This window comes from Homo sapiens, chromosome 18, assembly GCF_000001405.40.
Source record: "Homo sapiens chromosome 18, GRCh38.p14 Primary Assembly".
In the NCBI taxonomy this organism is placed as follows: Eukaryota; Metazoa; Chordata; class Mammalia; order Primates; family Hominidae; genus Homo; species Homo sapiens.
Window position 1 is genome coordinate 7961432 of NC_000018.10, and position 26403 is coordinate 7987834.

Below are 26403 nucleotides of genomic sequence, written 5' to 3' on the forward strand. Positions count from 1 at the left end.
ATGTCATCACGTGTGCGATTGCACCTTTTTAATTATGCTGATAATTGAATTGTATATATTTGTTTCATATAATTCTTTGTGAACTACTTAGAGACTATAAGCACTGACTTTGGCATTCAGTTTAAAAATGCACCTTCTTTATGACTTAGGGAAATGTTTACTAGTAAAGCATGTACTGCTGGGTTCCTGAGGAGTCCAAGTATGATCAGTTATCCTAGAAATGTTCTGTCCTAATGGCAGAGCCATCCCATCCACAGCTAGCCTGCTGCTTGCTGGGAATAGGAGTGATGTATTAGAAGTCTTTAATAAATGTGATGTGTAAGAAGTATACACATTTTTATAAATGTGATTTTTTATAAAAGCGATAGTGTTTTTATAACTTCCATTTTTTTAAATGATTGAGTGAGTTTTAATATCTGTCTGCGTAGAGCTATATATTTGTCTGCCTAGTATCTGCCTAGTTAGAGCTTTTTACATAACTATAATAAAAACTTGGAATATGTATTACATTAAAATGTATTTTGTTGTACTTAGATGCTTTGATAACATGCAGTAATAGCTATCATATCTGCAGTATTTTCAGTGGCAGAAGATACTGGACATACCTTGCCACTATTTGGAGTCATTTCACCTTTCAATCTTTGTTCTGTGAAACGTTCAGTGTCTGCTTATCCCATTTGTGATATGCAGTTTTGTGAATCTCCTATTTTTTTGTGATGACAGTCGTACTGTTGCACTTGAACAGATGTATTTGTGTAGCTTTCTTGTATGCCTGCCTTGTTCTTCTGTGAACAAATAACATACATAAACAAACATATATTTGGGGGTATTGGAGGGAGGGAATATATAGGCAACATATATATACATATGGAGGATAAACAAAGGATTAGTGTTCCTTCACAGTAAGGACCCAACATTCCCGACTGTGGGAATTTTGTACTAAATACAAATTTACGGTGTTGTGTTTTCTTTTATCTTATACCCTGAGAATATCTCTCAGTGTGCCTTATGTAGTAGCACACCCTGTCTGTCATACCCGGTCCAGTCTAAATGTCACTAGATTTAGGTTCATATTGGTTTTGAAATATTAATTCGCTGTGTTTGCCTAGTGGTAACACTGGAGTGATTCGTTTTAAATATATCTGAATGAGATTCTCATGTTGGAAATGAGTAGTGACAGGTTCCTTGGCAAGGGGGCATTACATGAAGCCCAAACTGCACCATGCCTGCATTCAACCGAAGGCTGACCTCGCTGCTATTTATTTATTATTTTTAGTTTGTTTCTGTGGGAAAAAAGGAAATAATTCTGGTTGAAATGGGAATAATCTGAAATTAAACCCTGCCAAAACCTGATGTATTTTCTCTTAAATCAAAGATAGTAGTATTTGTGTTTTCTGTACAGAATTATCACTGGCATTGCAATAAGTATCTGGACTTACAGGGCTGACCCTCAGGTACCTGGGGCCATGTGGGAGCTAATCTAACAATGGCTGTTATTCGGAAGGCATAAAGGCCAAAGACCTAATTGAGTGGAGCATAATTTATTTTTGATTTAAGTTTATTTACCAGGGAAGAAATTAAAAGTGTTCTAATTCTAAAACAGTTCTGCCACAGGGCAACATGTTTTAATGAATTTTCAATACATGAAGCCATTAAAAACCTTTTTAAATTATGAACATTAAAAGGGCATGAGGAGTACCTTCCCTATTATGCTGCAGATGTCAGATACTTTGGGTCACGTCACCGTGTACATAGGACAGGGGCATATCAGCAATGCAGTGTCTTTTTTATTATAATATATTCAGTCCCTTCCTTACAGGTGTTTAGGCCCCAGAGATTCTGTAATTAATACCTAAACCTCAAGTTCTGCTGCCCTTAAACACGGATTCAGCACTTTCCCTGTGCTTGAACCCTAAGGCAGCAGCAGAGGGGTATAGAATAGAACTGCTGGAGCAATTCTGCATGAGAGGTTCAGAAGCTCCTCTAAAAAGTGTGGACAGATGGAGGTGGTTGTTCATAGAGTTATCCAGTGACTCTTAAGGTGTTGTGACTCTCTGGAAGGTGTCAGGCAGGCCCTTTGGCTGTGAAAAATGAGCGTGCTAACAGTGCTCCTCAACTTCCTCTAGGCTTGTTTTTGAAATCTTTGTAGGTGGCTTCTTGTGTAGCTTTGAATACACTGAGGAGGCCAGGAAAATCAAGGGAAAGAGCTGGAGATTGCAGTCGGGGGCCTGTGGCCTAGTCCTGCTGTCCCTCTAATGAGCCATCTAACATGGGGAAGAATCACAGAACCGTTTCAGGCTGTATTTTGTCTGTCTATCTGTGAGGGGCTTGACCAGCTTCCTTGTTCTAGGGATCTGACAGGTCATCAGTCGCTGTCAGAGGGGGTTTGCTATGGGAAAAACATGATTGTTGTTAGTATGAGGCCTTGTCTGAGCACCAGCTACAGCTGTGAGCGTGGTCCTGCAGCCCCTGACATGTTTGAGGATGCCTCTGCATCCTGCTGCAATATCTCCTAGGAAAGGAAGACATCTACTAAATCTGCTTTGAACAATTCTTAAAGAGACCCCAGGCCATCTTAATTTCCCCCAAATCTCTTATATATTTAGTAAGAAAAAAAATTATTGATGATGACATGATTAATTTTTTATTAGAGCACATGCCTTAATTCTTTATCACATTTATAATGTGGAGAGGTTATATTTTATGATCTTTATGTTAGCATTTATACTACACTGGGGTCCTATGCATAATCTGTATGTACTGCATACGTATGTGTTTTAAAAGGACTTGGAGCATAATTGACTGCTTTAAATTATCATAGAGGCTTATACTTTTGTGACTGCCTTTGTGAACATTCAGAGGAAACAGTGTTCCCCTGGGAAACTTCTTTCACTTTATAGTCTGACTGACTTGGGTGGGTGAATGTTGGTTCTGGCACAAATAGCTAAAAACTCTCAACAAACGAGTTAACCTTGCTATTCCTAGTTTCTTAATCCTTCTGGTCAGTGTTTTTTTGTTGTTGTTGTTGTTTGTTTGTTTGTTTTAAACAGTACCAGCATTGTCTTCATAATGCTGCTGGGAAAATTACATATGCTAATGCAGGAAAACTTGTTAGCAGAGTACTTTGGTCACCTGGTGGCTCCCGAATGAATCCTAAGTAGGTTTACTATTAAATGCTGATACAAAATTATGTTTTGTTACCACAAGGGAAACACACTCCTATGGTGAAATCTTTCAATAGGACTTTTAAGCTGAATGGATTGGGTTGCATTTGACACATATACAAGTTGCAGTTTAAGCAAAACAAAAAATATGTATGTATCTTCAAGGTAGTGCCAAGAAAAAGAAATGATCACATGTTCACTGGAACCTGGGAAAACTTTTTGTTTTGCCTCCTTAAGGTGTGGTCGGGATAGAAAATAGCATAGTGACCCAGGGTCCCTGTTCTGCAGGGTGGCAAAAAAATAGAATAACTGCAAATACTTCATTTACATATGAGACACTGTTATGCTGTGGTTGTGGATGTGTTGCAATTATTAGTGACATGATAAGTGTTTTTGACACTTTTAACTTTTTGGAGGGTTCTGCCCCCACTCTAACACTTTTTTTTTTTTTTTTTTTTTGAGACGGAGTTTCGCTCTTGTGTACCCAGGCTGGAGTGCAATGTGCAATGGCATGATCTCGGCTCACTGCAACCTCCGCCTCCCAGTTACAAGCGATTCTTCTGTGTCAGCCCCCCAAGTAGCTCGGATTACAGGCACGCGCCACCACGCCCAGCTAATATTTTTGTATTTAGCAGAGATGGGGTTTCACCATGTTAATCAGGCTGGTAGTGAACTCCTGACCTCAGGTGATCTACCCGCCTTGGCCTCCCAAAGTACTAGGATTACATGCATGTGCCACCTCACCCAGCCCACTCTAACACTTGTAAGTTTATCCAGAGGACTCAAAGCTTGATGGCAGTTTGCTTAGAGCTAGAAGGCTGAGGTGCGCTGGGAGACATGTTTCTCTTTTGCTCATTTGCACACATACCCCAGGAAGGTAGGTGAACCCTTATTGAGTGAGATTGGATGGCTGGGGTCTTGGTGGTGTGGATGTAAGGAATTAAAGCACACAGGTAAGATTGTTCACCATAGGGCTGCTTGTGAGCCAGGCTTACCTTGCATCCAGTGTCGCTGGCCTCAGAGCGGGCAAAGCCAGTCTTAGCCTTTGTCTTCTGAACATTTTAGGAAAAGTTCAGTCACTCTTGACTTACCAGGTATGTTATGTGTTATGTCTGGAACCACTGTCATGCTTTGGGAAGCAGGTGGATTTTATCTTGACCTCATATGTCCTGTGTACTTCCTTCTATCCATGCTCCTCTCAGCACATCCAGATGCATTCTCTTCTTATTCACCCAGCTCTCAGTTTATTCGTCCTCATTAACACGAAATGTGGGCTCACTGGGACATACTCAGTGGCATCTGGCCTCCAGTTAGGACTTGCCAACTTCATCTGTAAGGATAATGCTGCTTGTGCTTTTAAAAGCTAAATAAGAAGTAAGATAAATGAGAGCTAAAACTTGTATAGTCATAACAACAGATTATGAAAGATTGATAATATGTCAAAATTTTAGTTTATGAGGGTTAGCCATGTTCCTTTGTGTAACACTTTTATAAATTAATTTTAAGAATATAAATAACTGGTAATTACCTATTAGAATAAACTGCAAGTGAATAGAATGCTTTAAAAATGAATAACGCATATAAATGGAATTTAAATTATAAATACAAGAAATTTTATTAGGAAGTATAGTTATACCTGTTATTAAAATAGAAAAGATAATAGAGCTGTTTGATACCAAAATTGCTGATCCTCCATCCATGTTATTACCATTGTGGAATGAGTAATATAAGTAATGTAACTATTCAGGTAAAATATTCCCATTGACCAAATAGCAATATTTCCTTCTTATCCATCTGGACAAGTGACTGTAAACACATATTTATAGTCAGCATTGAAACCCTTTCTAGAAGGAGGAGCCAAGATGGCCGAATAGGAACAGCTCCGGTCTACAGCTCCCAGCGTGAGCGACGCAGAAGACGGGTGATTTCTGCATTTCCATCTGAGGTACCGGGTTCATCTCACTAGGGAGTGCCAGACAGTGGGCTCAGGTCAGTGGGTGCGCGCACCGTGCGCGAGCCGAAGCAGGGCGAGGCATTGCCTCACCTGGGAAGCGCAAGGGGTCAGGGAGTTCCCTTTCCGAGTCAAAGAAAGGGGTGACGGGCGCACCTGGAAAATCGGGTCACTCCCACCCGAATACTGCGCTTTTCAGACCGGCTTAAAAAACGGCGCACCACGAGACTATATCCCACACCTGGCTCGGAGGGTCCTACGCCCACGGAGTCTCGCTGATTGCCAGCACAGCAGTCTGAGATCAAACCGCAAGGCGGCAGCGAGGCTGGGGGAGGGGCGCCCACCATTGCCCAGGCTTGCTGAGGTAAACAAAGCAGCCTGGAAGCTCGAACTGGGTGGAGCCCACCACAGCTCTAGGAGGCCTGCCTGCCTCTGTAGGCTCCACCTCTGGGGGCAGGGCACAGACAAACAAAAAGACAGCAGTAACCTCTGCAGACTTAAATGTCCCTGTCTGACAGCTTTGAAGAGAGCAGTGGTTCTCCCAGCACGCAGCTGGAGATCTGAGAACGGGCAGACTGCCTCCTCAAGTGGGTCCCTGACCCCTGACCCCCGAGCAGCCTAACTGGGAGGCACCCCCCAGCAGGGGCACACTGACACCTCACACGGCAGGGTATTCCAACAGACCTGCAGCTGAGGGTCCTGTCTGTTAGAAGGAAAACTAACAAACAGAAAGGACATCCACACCGAAAACCCATCTGTACATCACCATCATCAAAGACCAAAAGTAGATAAAACCACAAAGATGGGGAAAAAACAGAACAGAAAAACTGGAAACTCTAAAACGCAGAGCGCCTCTCCTCCTCCAAAGGAACGCAGTTCCTCACCAGCAACGGAACAAAGCTGGATGGAGAATGACTTTGACGAGCTGAGAGAAGAAGGCTTCAGACGATCAAATTACTCTGAGCTACGGGAGGACATTCAAACCAAAGGCAAAGAAGTTGAAAACTTTGAAAAAAATTTAGAAGAATGTATAACTAGAATAACCAATACAGAGAAGTGCTTAAAGGAGCTGATGGAGCTGAAAACCAAGGCTTGAGAACTACGTGAAGAATGCAGAAGCCTCAGGAGCCGATGCGATCAACTGGAAGAAAGGGTATCAGCAATGCAAGATGAAATGAATGAAATGAAGCGAGAAGGGAAGTTTAGAGAAAAAAGAATAAAAAGAAATGAGCAAAGCCTCCAAGAAATATGGGACTATGTGAAAAGACCAAATCTACGTCTGATTGGTGTACCTGAAAGTGATGTGGAGAATGGAACCAAGTTGGAAAACACTCTGCAGGATATTATCCAGGAGAACTTCCCCAATCTAGCAAGGCAGGCCAACGTTCAGATTCAGGAAATACACAGAACGCCACAAAGATACTCCTCGAGAAGAGCAACTCCAAGACACATAATTGTCAGATTCACCAAAGTTGAAATGAAGGAAAAAATGTTAAGGGCAGCCAGAGAGAAAGGTCGGGTTACCCTCAAAGGAAAGCCCATCAGACTAACAGCAGATCTCTCGGCAGAAACCCTACAAGCCAGAAGAGAGTGGGGGCCAATATTCAACATTCTTAAAGAAAAGAATTTTCAACCCAGAATTTCATATCCAGCCAAACTAAGCTTCATAAGTGAAGAAGAAATAAAATACTTTACAGACAAGCAAATGCTGAGAGATTTTGTCACCACCAGGCCTGCCCTAAAAGAGCTCCTGAAGGAAGCGCTAAACATGGAAAGGAACAACTGGTACCAGCCGCTGCGAAATCATGCCAAAATGTAAAGACCATTGAGACTAGGAAGAAACTGCATCAACTAATGAGCAAAATCACCAGCTAACATCATAATGACAGGATCAAATTCACACATAACAATATTAACTTTAAATATAAATGGACTAAATTCTGCAATTAAAAGACACAGACTGGCAAGTTGGATAAAGAGTCAAGACCCATCAGTGTGCTGTATTCAGGAAACCCATCTCACGTGCAGAGACACACATAGGCTCAAAATAAAAGGATGGAGGAAGATCTACCAAGCAAATGGAAAACAAAAAAAGGCAGGGGTTGCAATCCTAGTCTCTGATAAAACAGACTTTAAACCAACAAAGATCAAGAGAGACAAAGAAGGCCATTACATAATGGTAAAGGGATCAATTCAACAAGAGGAGCTAACTATCCTAAATATTTATGCACCCAATACAGGAGCACCCAGATTCATAAAGCAAGTCCTCAGTGACCTACAAAGAGACTTAGACTCCCACACATTAATAATGGGAGACTTTAACACCCCACTGTCAACATTAGACAGATCAACGAGACAGAAAGTCAACAAGGATACCCAGGAATTGAACTCAGCTCTGCACCAAGCGGACCTAATAGACATCTACAGAACTCTCCACCCCAAATCAACGGAATATACATTTTTTTCAGCACCACACCACACCTATTCCAAAATTGACCACATAGTTGGAAGTAAAGCTCTCCTCAGCAAATGTAAAAGAACAGAAATTATAACAAACTATCTCTCAGACCACAGTGCAATCAAACTAGAACTCAGGATTAAGAATCTCACTCAAAGCCGCTCAACTACATGGAAACTGAACAACCTGCTCCTGAATGACTACTGGGTACATAACAAAATGAAGGCAGAAATAAAGATGTTCTTTGAAACCAACGAGAACAAAGACACCACATACCAGAATCTCTGGGACACATTCAAAGCAGTGTGTAGAGGGAAATTTATAGCACTAAATGCCTACAAGAGAAAGCAGGAAAGATCCAAAATTGACACCCTAACATCTCAATTAAAAGAACTAGAAAAGCAAGAGCAAACACATTCAAAAGCTAGCAGAAGGCAAGAAATAACTAAAATCAGAGCAGAACTGAAGGAAATAGAGACACAAAAAACCCTTCAAAAAATCAATGAATCCAGGAGCTTGTTTTTTGAAAGGTTCAACAAAATTGATAGACCGCTAGCAAGACTAATAAAGAAAAAAAGAGAGAAGAATCAAATAGACACAATAAAAAATGATAAAGGGGATATCACCACCAATCCCACAGAAATACAAACTACCATCAGAGAATACTACAAACACCTCTATGCAAATAAACTAGAAAATCTAGAAGAAATGGATACATTCCTCGACACATACACTCTCCCAAGACTAAACCAGGAAGAAGTTGAATCTCTGAATAGACCAATAACAGGCTCTGAAATTGTGGCAATAATCAATAGTTTACCAACCAAAAAGAGTCCAGGACCAGATGGATTCACAGCCGAATTCTACCAGAGGTACAAGGAGGAACTGGTACCATTCCTTCTGAAACTATTCCAATCAATAGAAAAAGAGGGAATCCTCCCTAACTCATTTTATGAGGCCAGCATCATTCTGATACCAAAGCCGGGCAGAGACACAACCAAAAAAGAGAATTTTAGACCAATATCCTTGATGAACATTGATGCAAAAATCCTCAATAAAATACTGGCAAACCGAATCCAGCAGCACATCAAAAAGCTCATCCACCATGATCAAGTGGGCTTCATCCCTGGGATGCAAGGCTGGTTCAATATACGCAAATCAATAAATGTAATCCAGCATATAAACAGAGCCAAAGACAAAAACCACATGATTATCTCAATAGATGCAGAAAAAGCCTTTGACAAAATTCAACAACCCTTCATGCTAAAAACTCTCAATAAATTAGGTATTGATGGGACGTATTTCAAAATAATAAGAGCTATCTATGACAAACCCACAGCCAATATCATACTGAATGGGCAAAAACTGGAAGCATTCCCTTTGAAAACTGGCACAAGACAGGGATGCCCTCTCTCACCGCTCCTATTCAACATAGTGTTGGAAGTTCTGGCCAGGGCAATCAGGCAGGAGAAGGAAATAAAGGGTATTCAATTAGGAAAAGAGGAAGTCAAATTGTCCCTGTTTGCAGACGACATGATTGTTTATCTAGAAAACCCCATTGTCTCAGCCCAAAATCTCCTTAAGCTGATAAGCAACTTCAGCAAAGTCTCAGGATACAAAATCAATGTACAAAAATCACAATCATTCTTATACACCAACAACAGACAAACAGAGAGCCAAATCATGAGTGAACTCCCATTCACAATTGCTTCAAAGAGAATAAAATACCTAGGAATCCAACTTACAAGGGATGTGAAGGACCTCTTCAAGGAGAACTACAAACCACTGCTCAAGGAAATAAAAGAGGACACAAACAAATGGAAGAACATTCCATGCTCATGGGTAGGAAGAATCAATATCATGAAAATGGCCATACTGCCCAAGGTAATTTACAGATTCAATGCCATCCCCATCAAGCTACCAATGACTTTCGTCACAGAATTGGAAAAAACTACTTTAAAGTTCATATGGAACCAAAAAAGAGCCCGCATCGCCAAGTCAATCCTAAGCCAAAAGAACAAAGCTGGAGGCATCACACTACCTGACTTCAAACTATACTACAAGGCTACAGTAACCAAAACAGCATGGTACTGGTACCAAAACAGAGATATAGATCAATGGAACAGAACAGAGCCCTCAGAAATAACGCCGCATACCTACAACTATCTGATCTTTGAGAAACCTGAGAAAAACAAGCAATGGGGAAAGGATTCCCTATTTAATAAATGGTGCTGGGAAAACTGGCTAGCCATATGTAGAAAGCTGAAACTGGATCCCTTCCTTACACCTTATACAAAAATCAATTCAAGATGGATTAAAGATTTAAACATTAGACCTAAAACCATAAAAACCCTAGAAGAAAACCTAGGCATTACCATTCAGGACATAGGCGTGGGCAAGGACTTCATGTCCAAAACACCAAAAGCAATGGCAGCAAAAGCCAAAATTGACAAATGGGATCTAATTAAACTAAAGAGCTTCTGCACAGCAAAAGAAACTACCATCAGAGTGAACAGGCAACCTACAACATGGGAGAAAATTTTCGCAACCTACTCATCTGACAAAGGGCTAATATCCAGAATCTACAATGAACTCAAACAAATTTACAAGAAAAAAACAAACAACCCCATCAAAAAGTGGGCGAAGGACATGAACAGACACTTCTCAAAAGAAGACATTTATGCAGCCAAAAAACACATGAAAAAATGCTCATCATCACTGGCCATCAGAGAAATGCAAATCAAAACCACTATGAGATATCATCTCACACCAGTTAGAATGGCAATCATTAAAAAGTCAGGAAACAACAGGTGCTGGAGAGGATGTGGAGAAATAGGAACACTTTTACACTGTTGGTGGGACTGTCAACTAGTTCAACCATTGTGGAAGTCAGTGTGGCGATTCCTCAGGGATCTAGAACTAGAAATACCATTTGACCCAGCCATCCCATTACTGGGTATATACCCAAAGGACTATAAATCATGCTGCTATAAAGACACATGCACACGTATGTTTATTGCGGCATTATTCACAACAGCAAAGACTTGGAACCAACCCAAATGTCCAACAATGATAGACTGGATTAAGAAAATGTGGCACATATACACCATGGAATACTATGCAGCCATAAAAAATGATGAGTTCATGTCCTTTGTAGGGACATGGATGAAATTGGAAACCATCATTCTCAGTAAACTATCGCAAGAAGAAAAAACCAAACACCGCATATTCTCACGCATAGGTGGGAATTGAACAATGAGATCACATGGACACAGGAAGGGGAATATCACACTCTGGGGACTGTGGTGGGGTAGGGGGAGGGGGGAGGGATAGCATTGGGAGATATACCTAATGCTAGATGACGATTTAGTGGGTGCAGCGCACCAGCATGGCACATGTATACATATGTAACTAACCTGCACAATGTGCACATGTACCCTAAAACTTAAAGTATAATTAAAAAAAAAAAAACATTAAAAAAAAAAAAAAAGGAGAGAAACATGGAATAGAAAAAAAAAAAAGAAACCCTTTCTAAAGGGCTTTTTAGAAATACATTAACATTTGAAAAAATATACATATTAAAATATATTTCTGCTAAATATTATGTATTGCTATTTTGCTATTCTTTAGCTCAGCTATAATGCTCCTAATTTGAGTAATGAATTCATGATAAATAACATTTTACTTGTTAATGTTTATATCTTGTTAATGGCCTTTGAAAATCACTGAAGTCATAGATGTGATATAAGAAGGCAAAAAATATAGAAGTATATGATGAAGAAGGTAACAGATTCCCTCCTCTTTCAGTCCCTTTGCCAGAAATCATCATCGTTAATCCTTTTGTGTTTATCCTTCAACATCTCTATGTAAGCTCATTTAGGTGTGTAAATATCAATATATGTCCTCAGTCCCTTCCTTACTAATTCTAACAAATAGGATTATATTGTACATGTTATTCATCAGCTTGATTTCACATCTGCCAGTATTTTCTGAACAGCTCTCTAGTTGTTAGAGTCTAGTACAATACATGTTATATAAACATATATAACCCACATATAATATATATAACCCACTCTTATTAGCAGCTGTTTATTCTTTTGTAATATGGATGACCTAATTTATTTAGCCCCTCCTCTCTTGATGGATAGTCAGGTTTTGTTCATTAATAAAGGGAATATTTCAGTAAATATCTATAAATATATATAGTATACAATTATTTCGATTTCTATAAGTTAAGTTTACAGTTTTAAGGTAGAATTGCAGGGCCAAAGATATATGCATTTAAGACTTTAGTAGGTGCTGTCAGATTACTTTCTACAAGGCTCTATCAAGTTATGCTCTACCAGCAAGGTGTCACAATGTCAGGGTCCTCAAATGCTTTCGAGCATTGAATATTAATGATCTTTTAAAACTTAAAAAATCAATTTATTGGTTTTTAAATTATATGTTCTTGTTTTAATTCGCATTTCCTCTTTTCCATGCATGTATTCAGTATATTTCTTCCTCAGCAAATTGTCCATTTCTGTCCTTAGGATGCTTTCTAATCTTTTCCTTTTTAAATTGTAGGGATACTTTCTATAGTAGGGTTATTTACCATTTGTCATATGTTTTCAAAATATTTTTCTTATTCTACCATTTGCTGTTGACTTTATTTGTGGTTTATTATAGAGAAATCTTCACATTTTATGTAGTTAAATTTATCAATTATATCTTTTAGGGCTACCCATACTCATTAATACACACAATAAATGTATCATTGGAATATAAATCAGTCCAAATATATATTAATTTATCTTGGTAGATGTCTACATATGCAATTATGTTTGCTAAATGACCCATTGTTTCTTCCTAATGGCTTCTTACTTTCTAGTCTTGTTTTAGAAGATATTTTTCTACATTTTTGTTGAATTTTTTTTAGAACTTATTTTTATACTTAGAGTATTTAGTCAGTGAGATTCTGGTAAAAAAAAAAAAAGACTTGAGGGGAAGACTCCAGGGCTGAGGAGCCTTCTGGGGACAGTTCCTTTGCACTTCAATGATGCGCGAGGAGAATGGTCCATTCTCACCTTTGCATTTTGCTTGACGTGGAGCCTGAGAATGTGGCAGGCAGCATGTGACCACAGGGAAACCAGCTAAAAAGGCAGCTGCTATGAAAGCCGAGTAGGCACAACTGAGTCACAGCTCATTTTGGTTTGCCCCATTTGTTTATTCATTTATTGATTTAGTCTAATATTTTTGAGCATCTGCTGAGAGGTATTCTCCTAGGCTTTGAGGATACAGTTAGTAGGCAAAACTAACAAGTCTCCTGCCCTCCTGGACACAGCTTTCTAGTTTCTAAAGTTCTCCATTGGTGTGCAGTGTGTGCACACATTTACATGAAGCAAAGCTTACAGAGATTCCCAGAGCAGTTGTAGAGAAGAGGTTCTGAAAGTCAACATAAATATTAGGTCAGACAGGAGCATCACAAATAAATGGTTTTAATCCGGACGTTTTGGGCTGCAAGTAATATAAATGCCCCTATAGGCTAACAATGAGGAAATTTATTAACTCGCATTAATGGGAAATCCATAGGTAAGGCACCCTTTACAGTTTGTTGTTCAGTGACTCAGTAATCTTCCCAGGGACATGGGCTCTTTCCAAATCTCTGATCTATTGGCCTCAACCCCAGGCTGGCTCTCTTTGTGGTGATAAGGTGACATTTAAAAGCAACTGGGGAAACATGCTGTGTTCACATCTAACGGGCAGAGAAGAATAGTTCCCCAGTCATAGAATGTAACTTTTTTCTTTCAATCTTTTACGTCAATTAAGGACCGATAATAACTAGCAGATTTTCATGGATTGATTGCCTTAGTGCACTTATTCTTAAACTTTAACGTACTTCAGTAATGACAGTGTATATCAGAATCACCTGGAGGACTTGTGAAAAGATCCTGACTGGCTTCTATCCCATGTTTATCATTCAGTTGGTTTAGGGTTGGATCAGGAATCTGCATTTTTAACAAATTCCTCAGTGATGCCGATATTGAAAACCACTGATTTGCAATGATGAAGATGCATCCTTGCACCACACACCTATTAGAATGGCCAAAATTCAGAACACTGCCACACATCAAATGCTGGGAGGATGTGGAGCAACAGGAACTCTTATTTGTTGCTGGTGAAAATATAAAAATAGGTGCAGCCTGTTTGGAAAACAGGTGGGCAGTTTCTTGCAAGAGCAAACCTACTCTTACTGTACAATCCAGCAGTTGTGTCCTTTGACATTCACCCAAAGGAACTTCAGACTTATGTCAACACAAAAACTTGCACACCAGTGTTTATAGCAGCTTTTTATTCATAATTTCTAAAACTTACAAGCAACCTAGAGGTCAGTAGATGACTGGATAAACTATGGTACATTGAGACAATTGAATATTTTTCAGAAATGAGCTATTAAGCCATGAAGAGACACAGAGGAAACTTAAGTGTATATTAAGAAGTGAAAGATGCCAATATGGTAATGCTACATACTGTATAATTTCAACTACGGTAAGGTTCCACATAACAGTCTTTCAGTCTATGAGGTCTGCATATAAGATGGTAGTCCTTTAAGATTATAACGGAGCTGAAAATCACCTAGTAACATTGTAGCCACTGTAATTTCATAGCTAATGCATTACCTTTTCTATGTTTAAATATACAAATACTCTCATTGTGTTACAGTTGCCTACAGTATTCAGTACAGTAACATGGTGTATATGTCTGTGGCCAAGGAGGAGTGGACTACAACATATACTCTCCGTGTATAGTAAGCTATCCCATCTAGATTTGTCTAAGAGCACTCTATGATGTTCACACAATGATGAAATCACCTAAAGATGTTTTTCTTAGAATGTATCTCTGTTGGCTGGGCTCAGTGGCTCACACTTGTAATCCCAGCACTTTGGGAGCCCGAGGCAGGTGGATCACGAGGTCAGGTGTTCAAGACCAGCCTGACCAACATGGTGAAACCCTGTCTCTACTAAAAATACAAAAATTAGCCAGGCATGGTGGCATGTGCCTTTAATCCCAGCTACTCAGGAGGCTGAGGCAGGAAAATATCTTGAACCTGGGAGGCAGAGATTGCAGTGAGCCAAGATCGCGCCATTGCATTCCAGCCGGGAGACAGAGGGAGACTCCGTCTCAAAAAAATAAAAAATAAAAAATGAAAAAAAGAACGTTTCTCTGTCATTAGGCAACCCATGACTATATATGACATTCTGGAAAAGGCCAAACTATGGATACAGTAAAAAATATCAGTGTTTGACAGAAGCTGGGAGAGGCAGGGATAAATAGGTAGATCATAGAGGACTTTTTCAGGTAGTGAAATTATTCTGTATGATACTATAGTAGTGGATATATGCCATTATATAGTTTCCAAAATCCATAGAATATACCACACCAAGAGTGAATCCTGATATCAATTCTGGACTTTGTGTGGTGCTGATTGTTCGTTGGTACGATGTGTTGATAATGTGGGAGGCTACGCCTAGGCTTGAGGGCAGGGGATTGTGGGGAATCTTCATATGCTTCGTGCCATGCAATTTTGCTGTTAACGTAAAACTATTCTACAAGATAAAGTTTTATTTATGAAAAAAAAAGAGCCTCACCCTTGAGTCTAGGGATGGAATGAGCCATCCCTGAGCCACGAACTGTGGAAGACTAAATCACTGAACAAAATCAAGGGTTTGGGGAACTACTGGAAAGGAAGAGAGGAAAATGAATGCGGAGTAAGCAACTGACAGTGGCCAGTATAAAGGTTGATATGAGTTGAATATAATAATTGTAGTCAAATGACTACTGAGAAATTGGGTAAGATTTATTTCTTTTCTTGAGTAAATGTATTCGTTTGTTAAGTACTATCAGTCAGAATTGAGATCTGCAAAGAAACTTGCTGTTTTTTTTTTTTTTTAAAGCTTGATTTTAACAATAAAAAAGGTTGATTGTGACATGGATATTAGAAGATTTAACTATGGGGATCAATTGTAAATCCATTCCTCATATTTAGCATGGATCTCACCTTAGCTCCAGTTATAATGAAATAAATTAATAATACCTGAATTGTTTTTGTTTTGTTTTGTTTTGAGACAGAGTTTCGCCCTTTTTGCCCAGGCTGGAGTGCAATGGTGTGATCTTGGCTCACTGCAACCTCCACCTCCTGGGATCAAGTAATTCTCCTGCCTCAGCCTCCTGAGTAGCTGGTATTACAGGCACCTGCCACCACGCCCAGCTAATTTTTGTATTTTTGTAGAGACGGAGTTTTGCCATGTTGGCCAGGCTGGTCTCAAACTCCTGACCTCAGGTGATCTGCCTTCCTCGGCCTCCCAAAATGCTGGGATTACAGGCGTGAGTGACCGCACCCAGCTTCCTGAGTTGTTTAGAGGATGTTGGCATGCACTTCACCGTAGGTCCCTCACACGTGCACACCTTGCAAGCAGAGGCACCGATGGCCTTTGTTCTGGTCCAGGGAACAGCCTTGGAATATAGAGATAGTGTCTCTCTCTGGAGCACTGGATGAGCTTTCTAGTTGTCCAACATAAGAAAGATAATGTCTCTCTTGAGAGCAAAGGGTAGGCAGGTTTGCTTACTGCCCATAATAAGAGATTTGGTTTTCCTAACTCAGGGCTCTTTAGCTGTGATACAAACTGACTTCATGTGTAGCATCAACTTGGATTCCTCTGTATTCTCCCTTGAGACTTTGGGGGCAAGGGGAAACAACAAGAACACAAAGCTCATGTTGCTTTGTGCATGCTTTGCTTTGTTGTTCATAATACAGTTCTATGTCTCTGGCCCAGGAGTCTCCTGTCTTCTGCCAGCATCCATGAAACAGTGGCAGGCAAACTCGTAGGCTTGAAACTTGATTAAGTCTCAGACTCCTCACAGTTCTGGACAGAATATACTTGAAAGAAAAAAACTGACTTCTTCATAATTTCCTCTAACTCAAATCTTGTTGACTGGGAAACTGAGGCTGGGAGTAAGGAAACGACTTGTGCAGTTTTGCAGTGCGTCTGTTTACAGAAGTGCCTGGCAAGGCCACTGTTACCAACACCCTCTGATAACTGGTGCCTGCTCCTCTCAGCGCACTTTGCTTTTAGCCTCACTACAAAGCCAGCCTCTGTGAGTCTGCCCAATAGCTCTGGCTTAGGGTTGATTTAAGGATGGGATTGGACAGTAAGAATCTTTCACTTCAAGACAGAGCCAGATAAAACTGACATGAACCAAGTGAGGTGACTAGTCGTATAGAACATACAGATATAAGCTGACAGGGTTATTCAACACCGAGAGATATTTATCTGCCAGGGTCATTTAGCTGTAACTCTACTAAGAACTAGAATGGAAAACCAGCTGACCATCTCCATTGTTTTTCTATTTTGTTTGCATGTTGCTGTAAACAGTTTATTTTAAATTATAAAACGGGACTCTATTTGACCACTAAATGGACTCAATTTGACCATTAAATATGCCTCGTGGCCCAAAGGATATCTAGACTTAGTGAAGTGGTCACGTTAATTATTTTGTCTGCAAGTAAGCTCTTGGTGAGCCTGCCATGCTAACTTACGAGGCGAATGTTGGTAACACTTTCTCTGTTTGACACGTTAGCTTGGCATATAACTTTTTCTTTTATAAAGAATTTCTTTGTAGTACTGTGAAATCATAACTCTTATTCTATACTTTATCAATATTATACGTGGCTCTTACTACATAATGATCAGTCTCAGCTTTAATTCTTAAAAAGGTTTATATCATAATATTAAGGTTAGGATATGAAACATTATGAAGGGTCTGTGAGCACGTGACAGAGTATTCTTTCATATAAATTCCAATAATGTTATATGATTTTTTTTTGAAAACTCAGACATTTCTTTCCACCCTCAGAATTGCGTGTAGCGACCTTTAAAAAACAGTGCTTCACCATGGAGCTGACAGAACTTAGCTCTGGGCTCCCCACCTGTATTTTCACTGAGCCATAGGCCCGTGGCAAAGAAAATTGAATGTTGCCTGGGTGACCTTATCTATAAGCTGGGTCTTTAATTTCATTCCTGGCTATATTGAAGCTATAGCTGTTGCCAAAGTGTCTGAAAACAAAAGGGAGGGCAGAGAGATGATTTCTGCAGATGATCTATGTCCAGCCAACTGAGGAAATCACTGACCCGCCACTGTAGAGTCCTTTGTTCTGGCCACCTTTGTCTGACCCTGTCTAAGTATATAAAAAACACAGAAGCATTCCCTTCTAGGATAGAATCCTGGAGTTTCTAAGATTGACTTCCAAAGACATCAACAATATGGGTTTCTATGTACATAAAACTATTTGGGATTTGGGAGGCAGAAATTACAATAGTTGGCAATTTGTAATTCTTACCGATAGGTTCATTGGTTGGATACCTTTGGAAACATTTTTTGAAACGCAGATCTAAGCTAAACATCTCTTTTGGGCAGATTATGAATCTAAGGTGTTTTATTTGAGACAAATGGTTAACGTGTTACATGACATATTTATTAGTCCAAATGAAAAATACTCGTTGAAATTAAACCTTCTTTTCCCAAAGATCGTGCAGAGCTCATAATATGTATTTGCATTACATATTTTTTTCCAGGAGTTTATTCTCAGGAAACGACATCGTTTTTAATATAATAGAAGAAATGAAATACAAAGTCGAAAAATGAGACTGGAAAAGCCCAGGCACTGGCATTTTGTGTTGTGCTAAGTGTTCCCTCGTCACCTTGCAGTCCGCTGGCAGAAGTGTGGAGCGGACACAGGAGAAGGCTGGGATGGTGCTTGGAGGCTGGGGAACAGGCTGCACTGGCATTTCCAGTGAAGTGACTTGGGACACACTTCCTCTTTCTGCCTGAAAAGGACTGAGGGTGAGGGGCCACCTTGTCCCGCCCTGGGTTGATCCCTCCCAGATGCCCACATCTCCAGGGCTGTGTCTTCAGCCCAGCTCTCGCTCCTGCCTCTGGGCATGCTGGCTCCTGGACACCCCACATGGATTCCCTGGATATCTCCAACTCCTCTGCTCTATAATGCCCCTGAGCGTCTTACTCCTCCCCCTTGGCCGTGCCTGTCTTCGCAGCCCCACAAAATATTTTTTTCTACCAGTGTCTCTTACCTGAATCAGTACTTCAAGCTGCCCACTCATTTTGGCCAGAAACCTGAATTGCCCTTGAGTCTTTCTACTACCTCACCTCTGCACCACATCAATCATAAATCTCATGTACTCTCTTTCCTAGGTGTCTTGGTGTTTCGGAGGTTTCTCTGCAATGCTGCTTGCCTAGCCTCAGCCACTACTATGGCTCCTTATTGCACCCATGTTCACTCTGCTGCCCCCTAGAGTTGCTCTACCCTACAGCCAGATATCTTTTTTTTTATTTTTAGTATTTTTAGAGACAGGGTCTTGCTCTGTCACCCAGGCTGGAGTGCAGTGGTGATCACAGCTCACTGCGCCTCAACCTCCTGGGCTCAAGTGATCCTCCCGCCTCAGCCTCCCAGGTAGCTAGGACTACAGGCACATGCCACCACGCCTGGCTAATTTTTAAAATTTTTGTAGGGACTGGGCCTCACTATGTTGCCCAGGCTGGTCTTGAACTCCTGGGCTCAAACAGTCCTCCCACCTCGGCCTCTGAAAGCACTGGGATCACAGGTTTGAGCCACTGTGTCCAGCCATCAGAGGTCTTTTATAAATGCACATTCAGTCCTACCATTTCTAAGCAAAAATGGACAGTGAGAGACTCCTTAACACACAGCTCCCCTATCCTCCTCCCCGTTGCCTGCTTCCCGTTTCTCCATAATTCTTCTCACAGCCAGGCATGCTACATGCTGAGATTTCATGTGTTGATCTGTCTCCCTCCACTGGAGCATGAGCTGGCCTGGCAGGGCTTTTGTCTGGCTTGCTTACTGTGCCTGAGTTGAGCCATCGAAGGCACTCTGGGAATGGAAATGAGTGGTTGGCGCACATTCCCCTATCATCTGGCTTTGGCCCCCTCTCCATCAGTTCCCCTTGTTTTTCCCCACTGCTTTCTTAGCTTCAGCCTTAGCACTTTCATTTTCTTGAGATCAAGGTGCTCTTCCTGCTTATGAAGCACCATGAAGGTAGAATCACACCTCCTCTCCCGCTGGTTTTCTACTACTCCTACCTCTCTGCCCCCCGCCCACCAACCCCACCTTCACTCTCTACTTAAATATCCCCTCCTCAGGGAGGCTTTCCCTAAGCAATCTCTGGACAATGGAGTCGTGCATTCCCTTATTATTTTTTAAACATCTAATATCCCTGCTACACTGGAAGCCTGAAATCTTCAGGAACCATATCTGCCTGTCTATGAATGCACACACAGCACCTAGCCTAGTGTGGGCTTTCAACAGATATTTTGGAGACTGAGTCCATGTGATTCAGTCTGCATTAGTAGTGCCTAATCAACAATGAATGATCATTATCTTTTCCTCCATGGAGCCACTTACATCAATTAAAGTGTGAGGCAGTCTCCCCTCCACCCCAACCCCTATACTTTTCCCACCTGATCTTCCAACTGAAGTTCTCTGGCTCCCATACTTGCCCCGGAGGAATGACTGTGATGTGACAGGACAAAGTACTGAAATATATATGAGTATGAAGTATATGCAGTCATGCATCCTTAAGCAATGGGGCTGTATTCTGAGAAATGCATCTTTAGGTGATTTGGTCATTCTGTGAACATCATAGAGTGTACTTACCCAATCAGAGGTAGCAAGGCCAGCTACACACCCAGGCTATATGGTATAGCCAAGGCTCCTAGGCTGCAAAATTGTAGAGCATGTTACTGTATTGAATGCTGTAGACTCTTGGAACACAATGGTATTTGTGTAGCTAAACATTGAAACGTAGAAAAGGTACAGTAAAAATATGATATTGAAGATAAAAATGGCACACCTGTACAGGACATCCACCATGAATGGAGCTTGCAGGACTAGAAGTTGCTCTGGGTGTCAGGGACCTAGTGGTGAGTGAATATGAAGGCCTAGGACATTACTGTACACCACTGTAGACTTTACAAACACTGTACACTTAGGTTACATTAAATTTATTTTTTTAAATTTGTGTCTTTAATAATAAATTAACCCTAGCTTCCTTAAACTTTTGTACCTTAGAAACGTTTCAATGCATTTTTCATTGTTTGGCTCTTTTGTAATAACACTTAGCTTAAAATACAAACACATTGTACAACTGTACAAAATATTTTCTTTTTTATATTCTTATTCTATAAGCTGTTTTCTGTTTTTAAGTTTTTACTTTTTTTTTTTTTTTTTACTTTTAAAACTTTTTTGATACCTAAAACACAAACACACATTAGCCTAGGCCTACTCTGGGTCAGGATCACTGATAGCACTGGCCCCACCTCCACATCCTCTCCCACTGGAAGGTCTTCAGGGGGCAGTAACACTCATGGAGCTGTCATCTCCCAGAATAACAAGGCCTTCTGCTGTCTACCTCCTGAAGGTCCTGCCTGAGGCTGCTTCACAGTTAACTTTTTTTTTTTTTAGTATAAGTAGAATGCTGTAAAATAAGTATTAAAAAAGTATATTATAGTAAAACCATAAACCAGTAACATAGTTGTCTATTATCATTAGCAAGTATTAGGTACTGTACATGATTGTATGTGCTTGACTTTTATATGACTGGCAGTGCAGTAGATTTCTTTACAGCACCATCACCACAAACACCTCAGTAGTGTGTTGTGCTATGACGTTAGGACAGCTAGGATGTCACTAGGCGGCTGGAAGTTTTCAGCTCCAGCATACTCCTATGGGATGACAGTGATATATGTGGTTCGTTGTTGATGGAAATGTTGTTATGTGGCGTGTGATGGTGTATCTTTCTCTGAGGTTTATTGAAAGTCAGGAAGCTTCTACAAGGATTGTGAGGCCTCACATTCATGACTCAGGGCCCTGACCAGGCCCTCCTGATAGCTCCTATTTGGCACTATCTGCATTCGCCACGATTCTGGCATTCTCTTCCCTATTTCCATGTCTTTTTAGTGCTGTTCACTTTCTCAGAAATGCCTTTTCCTCCTCTTTTCTGCTTGTCAAACACATGTACTTTCATATAAAGTAGGGGTCCCCAACCCCCTGACTGCCAACCAGGTACACCTGGCTGCACAGCAGGAAGTGAGCCAGAGGCGGGCGAGCATCACCACCTGAGTTCCACCTCCTGTCAGATCAGCAGCGGCCATTAGATTTTCGTGGGAGTGCAAACCCTATTATGAACTGTGCATGCGAGGGATCTAAGTTGCAAGCTCCTTAGGAGAATCTAGTGCCTGATGATCTGAGGGGGAACAGTTTCATCCCGAAGCTATCCCCCCAACCTGGTTAGTGGGAAAATTGTCTTCTACAACACTGGTCCCTGGTGCCAAAAAGTTTGGGGCCTGTTGGTATAAAGGAACAGGAATGCCTGTTTTACTCACCAGACAGAGTCTTTGCCCTGCCCCTGTCCTGCCATGGCACTTTCAATATAGGCATTTGTCTCATAGGCTAGAACTATGCTTTTTGTCTCTGGCTTTCTCATCATTCTGTGTAAGACCTAAATCTTACCTTTTTTTCTCTTGTGCGCTATTGCCTGGCACACTGTAGAAGCCCAGGAAAGATTTTAAACATTTAAGTAACTGCTCCTAGTTCTGTCTCAATCAGAACTAGGAGCAGTCCTACTTTCTACTTGCAACATATTTGCCTGTCTTCTTTGCCACTAACCTTCGTTGAGAAAATAATCTGTGAAAGGTCATTATCAAGTTATCTCAGCACTTATTTAATGTGTGTTTAGCTGCTTTAGCTGCTTTACTGTCACATAAAAACGTGCCATAGTAAAATAAAGTAACAAAGCTGTCAATAAAAACCCCACTTCCACTCAATATTTAATGCTAAAGAGCCAGAGACATTTGAGATTTTCATCCATAATGCTAAATTGATGTTATCAAGGTCGGTAGCTGATCAATTTGCCTTGAAATACTGTTCACTTGATGAATGAAACTGTAACTTGTTAGAATATGGTGTGTTCTGGAAAACAATGTGTTTTAGTATTCTTTACATAATAGTCTCCAAATAAGGTCAAGATAGGAAGCAGCCTCATGCTATGAAGCACCTGGTGTTTCTAACAAAGCAAGGGCAGTGATGACTGCTGATCAGCCACCATAGTCACCAAAGAGTCAAGAAAAATGCAACCACCTTCTTGAGGGCATTAGAGTTTATAAGGTACCACCACATCCGTTTTCTTACCTAATCCTCGTAATGATTGCAAGAGAGATAACAGTATCCTCATTTTCCAAGTCAGGAAGCTTGGGTTCAAAGAGGTTAAATGGTATTCAGAGGTCACACAAAGCTCAATACAATCCCAAGTGTTTCCTGACTCCCAACTGGGTTCTTTCTGCTATGATGTAGCTACTTCATTGCTACAGGACTAAAAATTGAAAATCTGTACAGCTGTATTAAATATTTAGAAAATCTACCTTCGTGATTAATATTTTTTAATTTTTTTAATTTTTAATTTTTGTGGGTAGTATACATATATGCCCCATATATATATGCCCCATATATATATATATATATATATATATATATACACACACACACACACACACACACACAAACCCCCATATATGTATATGTGGGGTAAATATATATATACACACATATATAATTATATATATACATATATAAAAATATATAAATATATGGGGTAAATATAAATATATACATATAAAATTATATACACATATATAAATATATACACATAAAATTATATACACACATATAAATATATACATATAAAATTATATACACATATATAAATATATACATATAAAATTATATACACATATATAAATATATACATATAATTATATATACATATATAAATATATACATATAATTATATATACATATATAAATATATACATATATATACATATATAATTATATACATATAATTATATATACATATAATTATATACATATAATTGTATATACATATAATTATATATACATATATAAATATATACATATAATTATATATACATATAATTGTATATACATATATAAATATATACATATAATTATATATACATATAATTGTATATACACATATAAATATATACATATAATTGTATATACACATATAAATATATACATATAATTGTATATACACATATAAATATATACATATAATTGTATATACACATATAAATATATACATATAATTGTATATACACATATAAATATATACATATAATAGTATATACACATAAATATATACATATAATAGTATATACACATAAATATATACATATAATTGTATATACACATAAATATATACATATACTGGTATATACGTATATAAATATATACATATACTGGTATATACGTATATAAATATATACATATACTGGTAGATACGTATATAAATATATACATATACTGGTAGATACGTAAATATATACATATACTGGTAGATACGTATATAAATATATACATATACTGGTAGATACGTATATAAATATATACATATACTGGTAGATACGTATATAAATATATACATATACTGGTAGATACGTATATAAATATATACATATACTGGTAGATACGTATATAAATATATACATATATGGGGTAAATATATATATATGTATATGTATATATGGGGTAAATGAGATGTTTTGATACAGGCATGCAATGCAGAATAACCACATCTCGGAGAATGGAGTTTCCATCCCCTCAAGCATTTATCCATTTTAAAATGTACAATTCAGTTATTATTGATGATAGTCACCCTGTTGTGCTATGAAATAGTAGGTCTTATTCATTCTTTCATGATTAGTATTTAAAGAGTAAACTTTAAGTAGTGTCCAGGGGATAGGTGGACTCTAGAATAGTTGTAGAGTTTGAATGTACACAAACCCTAATGCAAATGAGTTATTTCAGAGTCGGGATACATTTCAAAAAACTCCAACTGACTGTCCCTGACAGTGTAAAACTTTCAGAATTCCTCAGAAAAGTAAACCTTTGTCTCAAAATTATGCTTTGAAGTTTGAAGATAAAAGGAGAGCTGTCTAAGGCCCAATGCTCAAATAGATGGACTAAAAACATTTTAGAAAAATTCTGGAGAGGTTATCAGAATTTGAAATGAATGTGATAACAGATCCCCTATAGTTCAAGTCCTCAGTAGTGCGTAACAGGATTTAAAGCAGCTTAGCTCAGACTAACGCATACAAGAAATTAAAGCCTTTTACAGGGTTTTGAAATGTGTTTCATTTTCTCAGGAAAGAGAAAAGCAGATTCCTTACTTTTATGTACCTGGTCACTTAGGAATATTTTGTACTGTATGGTTCTGGTCCGTTCTTAGAGCAATACAGAGAAACACAGTAGAACTTATTCAAATCTGTGATTGCCAGCTGTTGCCTGGGCAGTGTTTCCCATTGCCTTTTGGTGCCAGAATGAGCTAGCATTGTTTTGGTGAGGATTGGAAGCCTGTGCCCTGACATGGAGAACAGTACATGCACATCCCCAGCCAAGGCCGGTGAATGAAGGTGTCATGGTCTGTGAGAGGTTCAGCCATAGCACCTGGTGCTAGAGTAACTCAACATCCATATGCAAGTGCAGGGCAAAATTGTGAACTAAAATGGCCTAAATTTAGCAAATGTTTTAAAAATTGGAAAATATCTTTATAGACACTCATTTATAATGGAGGTCTGAGTTGGTGTTTTGGACTGAATTTGTGTTCCTCACTGATTCATGTGCTGAAGTCCTAACCCCAGTATTATAGATTGTGACTATATTTGGATAGGGTCTTTAAGAGGATAATTAACTTAAAATGTGATAATCCATTATGAATGGTGTCTTTGTAAGAAGAGGAGATTAGGATACAGGCATTGTACAGAGAGAAGACCATGGGAGGACACAGGGAGAACACATCAGCAAGCCAAGGAGACAGATCCCAGTAGAAAGTAACCCTGCCAATGTCTTGATCTTGAGCTTCCAGCCTCCATAACTGTAGAAAATGTGCTTATTGTTTAAGCCACTCAGTCTAAGGTACTTGTTTATGGCAGCCCTGGAAAATTTATTCAGCTGGTAACCCCAACATGGGGACTGTCAGTTAGACACAGCGCTTTTGAGCTGTAACTGTCCTCCAAAAATCTGTCTTTAATTCTCTACTGCCCACAGTAGATCTCTTGAGAAACAAGTGTAAAAGTTTATGTAAACCCTTGGTCAGTTGTGTTTAAATATTGTTTTAGAAGAATTATTCTTACAGTCAGAGGAAAGTTGACTTGGTTATGATGATGTTAGTGGGTTGAAGCTGGCTAAGCCACCAGTAAGGGAGCAAGTGGAGAAACATTTATTATCTATAATTGTTTTTAAATTATTAATAACATAAGCTCTTGCTTCAGAATACTTAACGTATAACAGACATGAGAATCAGTGACTGGGGGAAGATTAGTCATGAATGTTTCTTGGCAGGCTCCCTGTCATTCCACTAGGTCCATGATCTGCGGTGAGTGGAGACAAACCTACAGCAAACCGATCTCTGTTATTCTCACAGGGATAAAGGATGGGGAATGGGGACCCCTAGACTCTCCAGGGCACAGCTGGGGCTGATGGTGAAATTAACCTGGGAGGTGCTTTCATTTCTATTTTATCTGGTTTAGAAAACTCATAAAAAGTAAGTAGATTTAATATCCATTAAATCACATCTAATTTTAAAAACCTACTAAAGATTAAAACCATTTTTTCAGAGTCAGCATTATGATTCACTTTTGTTCACAGTCCTCATGGATTTATTTTGAAATTTTAAGTAAAC

At 39.3% G+C, this 26403-nt stretch overlaps 1 protein-coding gene across 36 annotated transcripts in view, besides 1 other annotated feature; it reads left to right on the plus strand.

The window, feature by feature from the left end:
• The window catches only part of PTPRM (protein tyrosine phosphatase receptor type M), an 839541-nt gene that overhangs the window by 394116 nt on the left and 419022 nt on the right, over positions 1 to 26403 (plus strand). The window lies entirely within an intron of this gene.
• Positions 5280 to 5574: an enhancer, noted in NCBI's record as "tiled region #1937; HepG2 Activating non-DNase unmatched - State 24:Quies, and K562 Activating non-DNase unmatched - State 24:Quies". NCBI's record gives its function as "activates a minimal TATA promoter and a strong SV40 promoter by Sharpr-MPRA in HepG2 and K562 cells {active_cell/tissue: HepG2 | K562}" and the evidence as "EXISTENCE:reporter gene assay evidence [ECO:0000049][PMID:27701403]".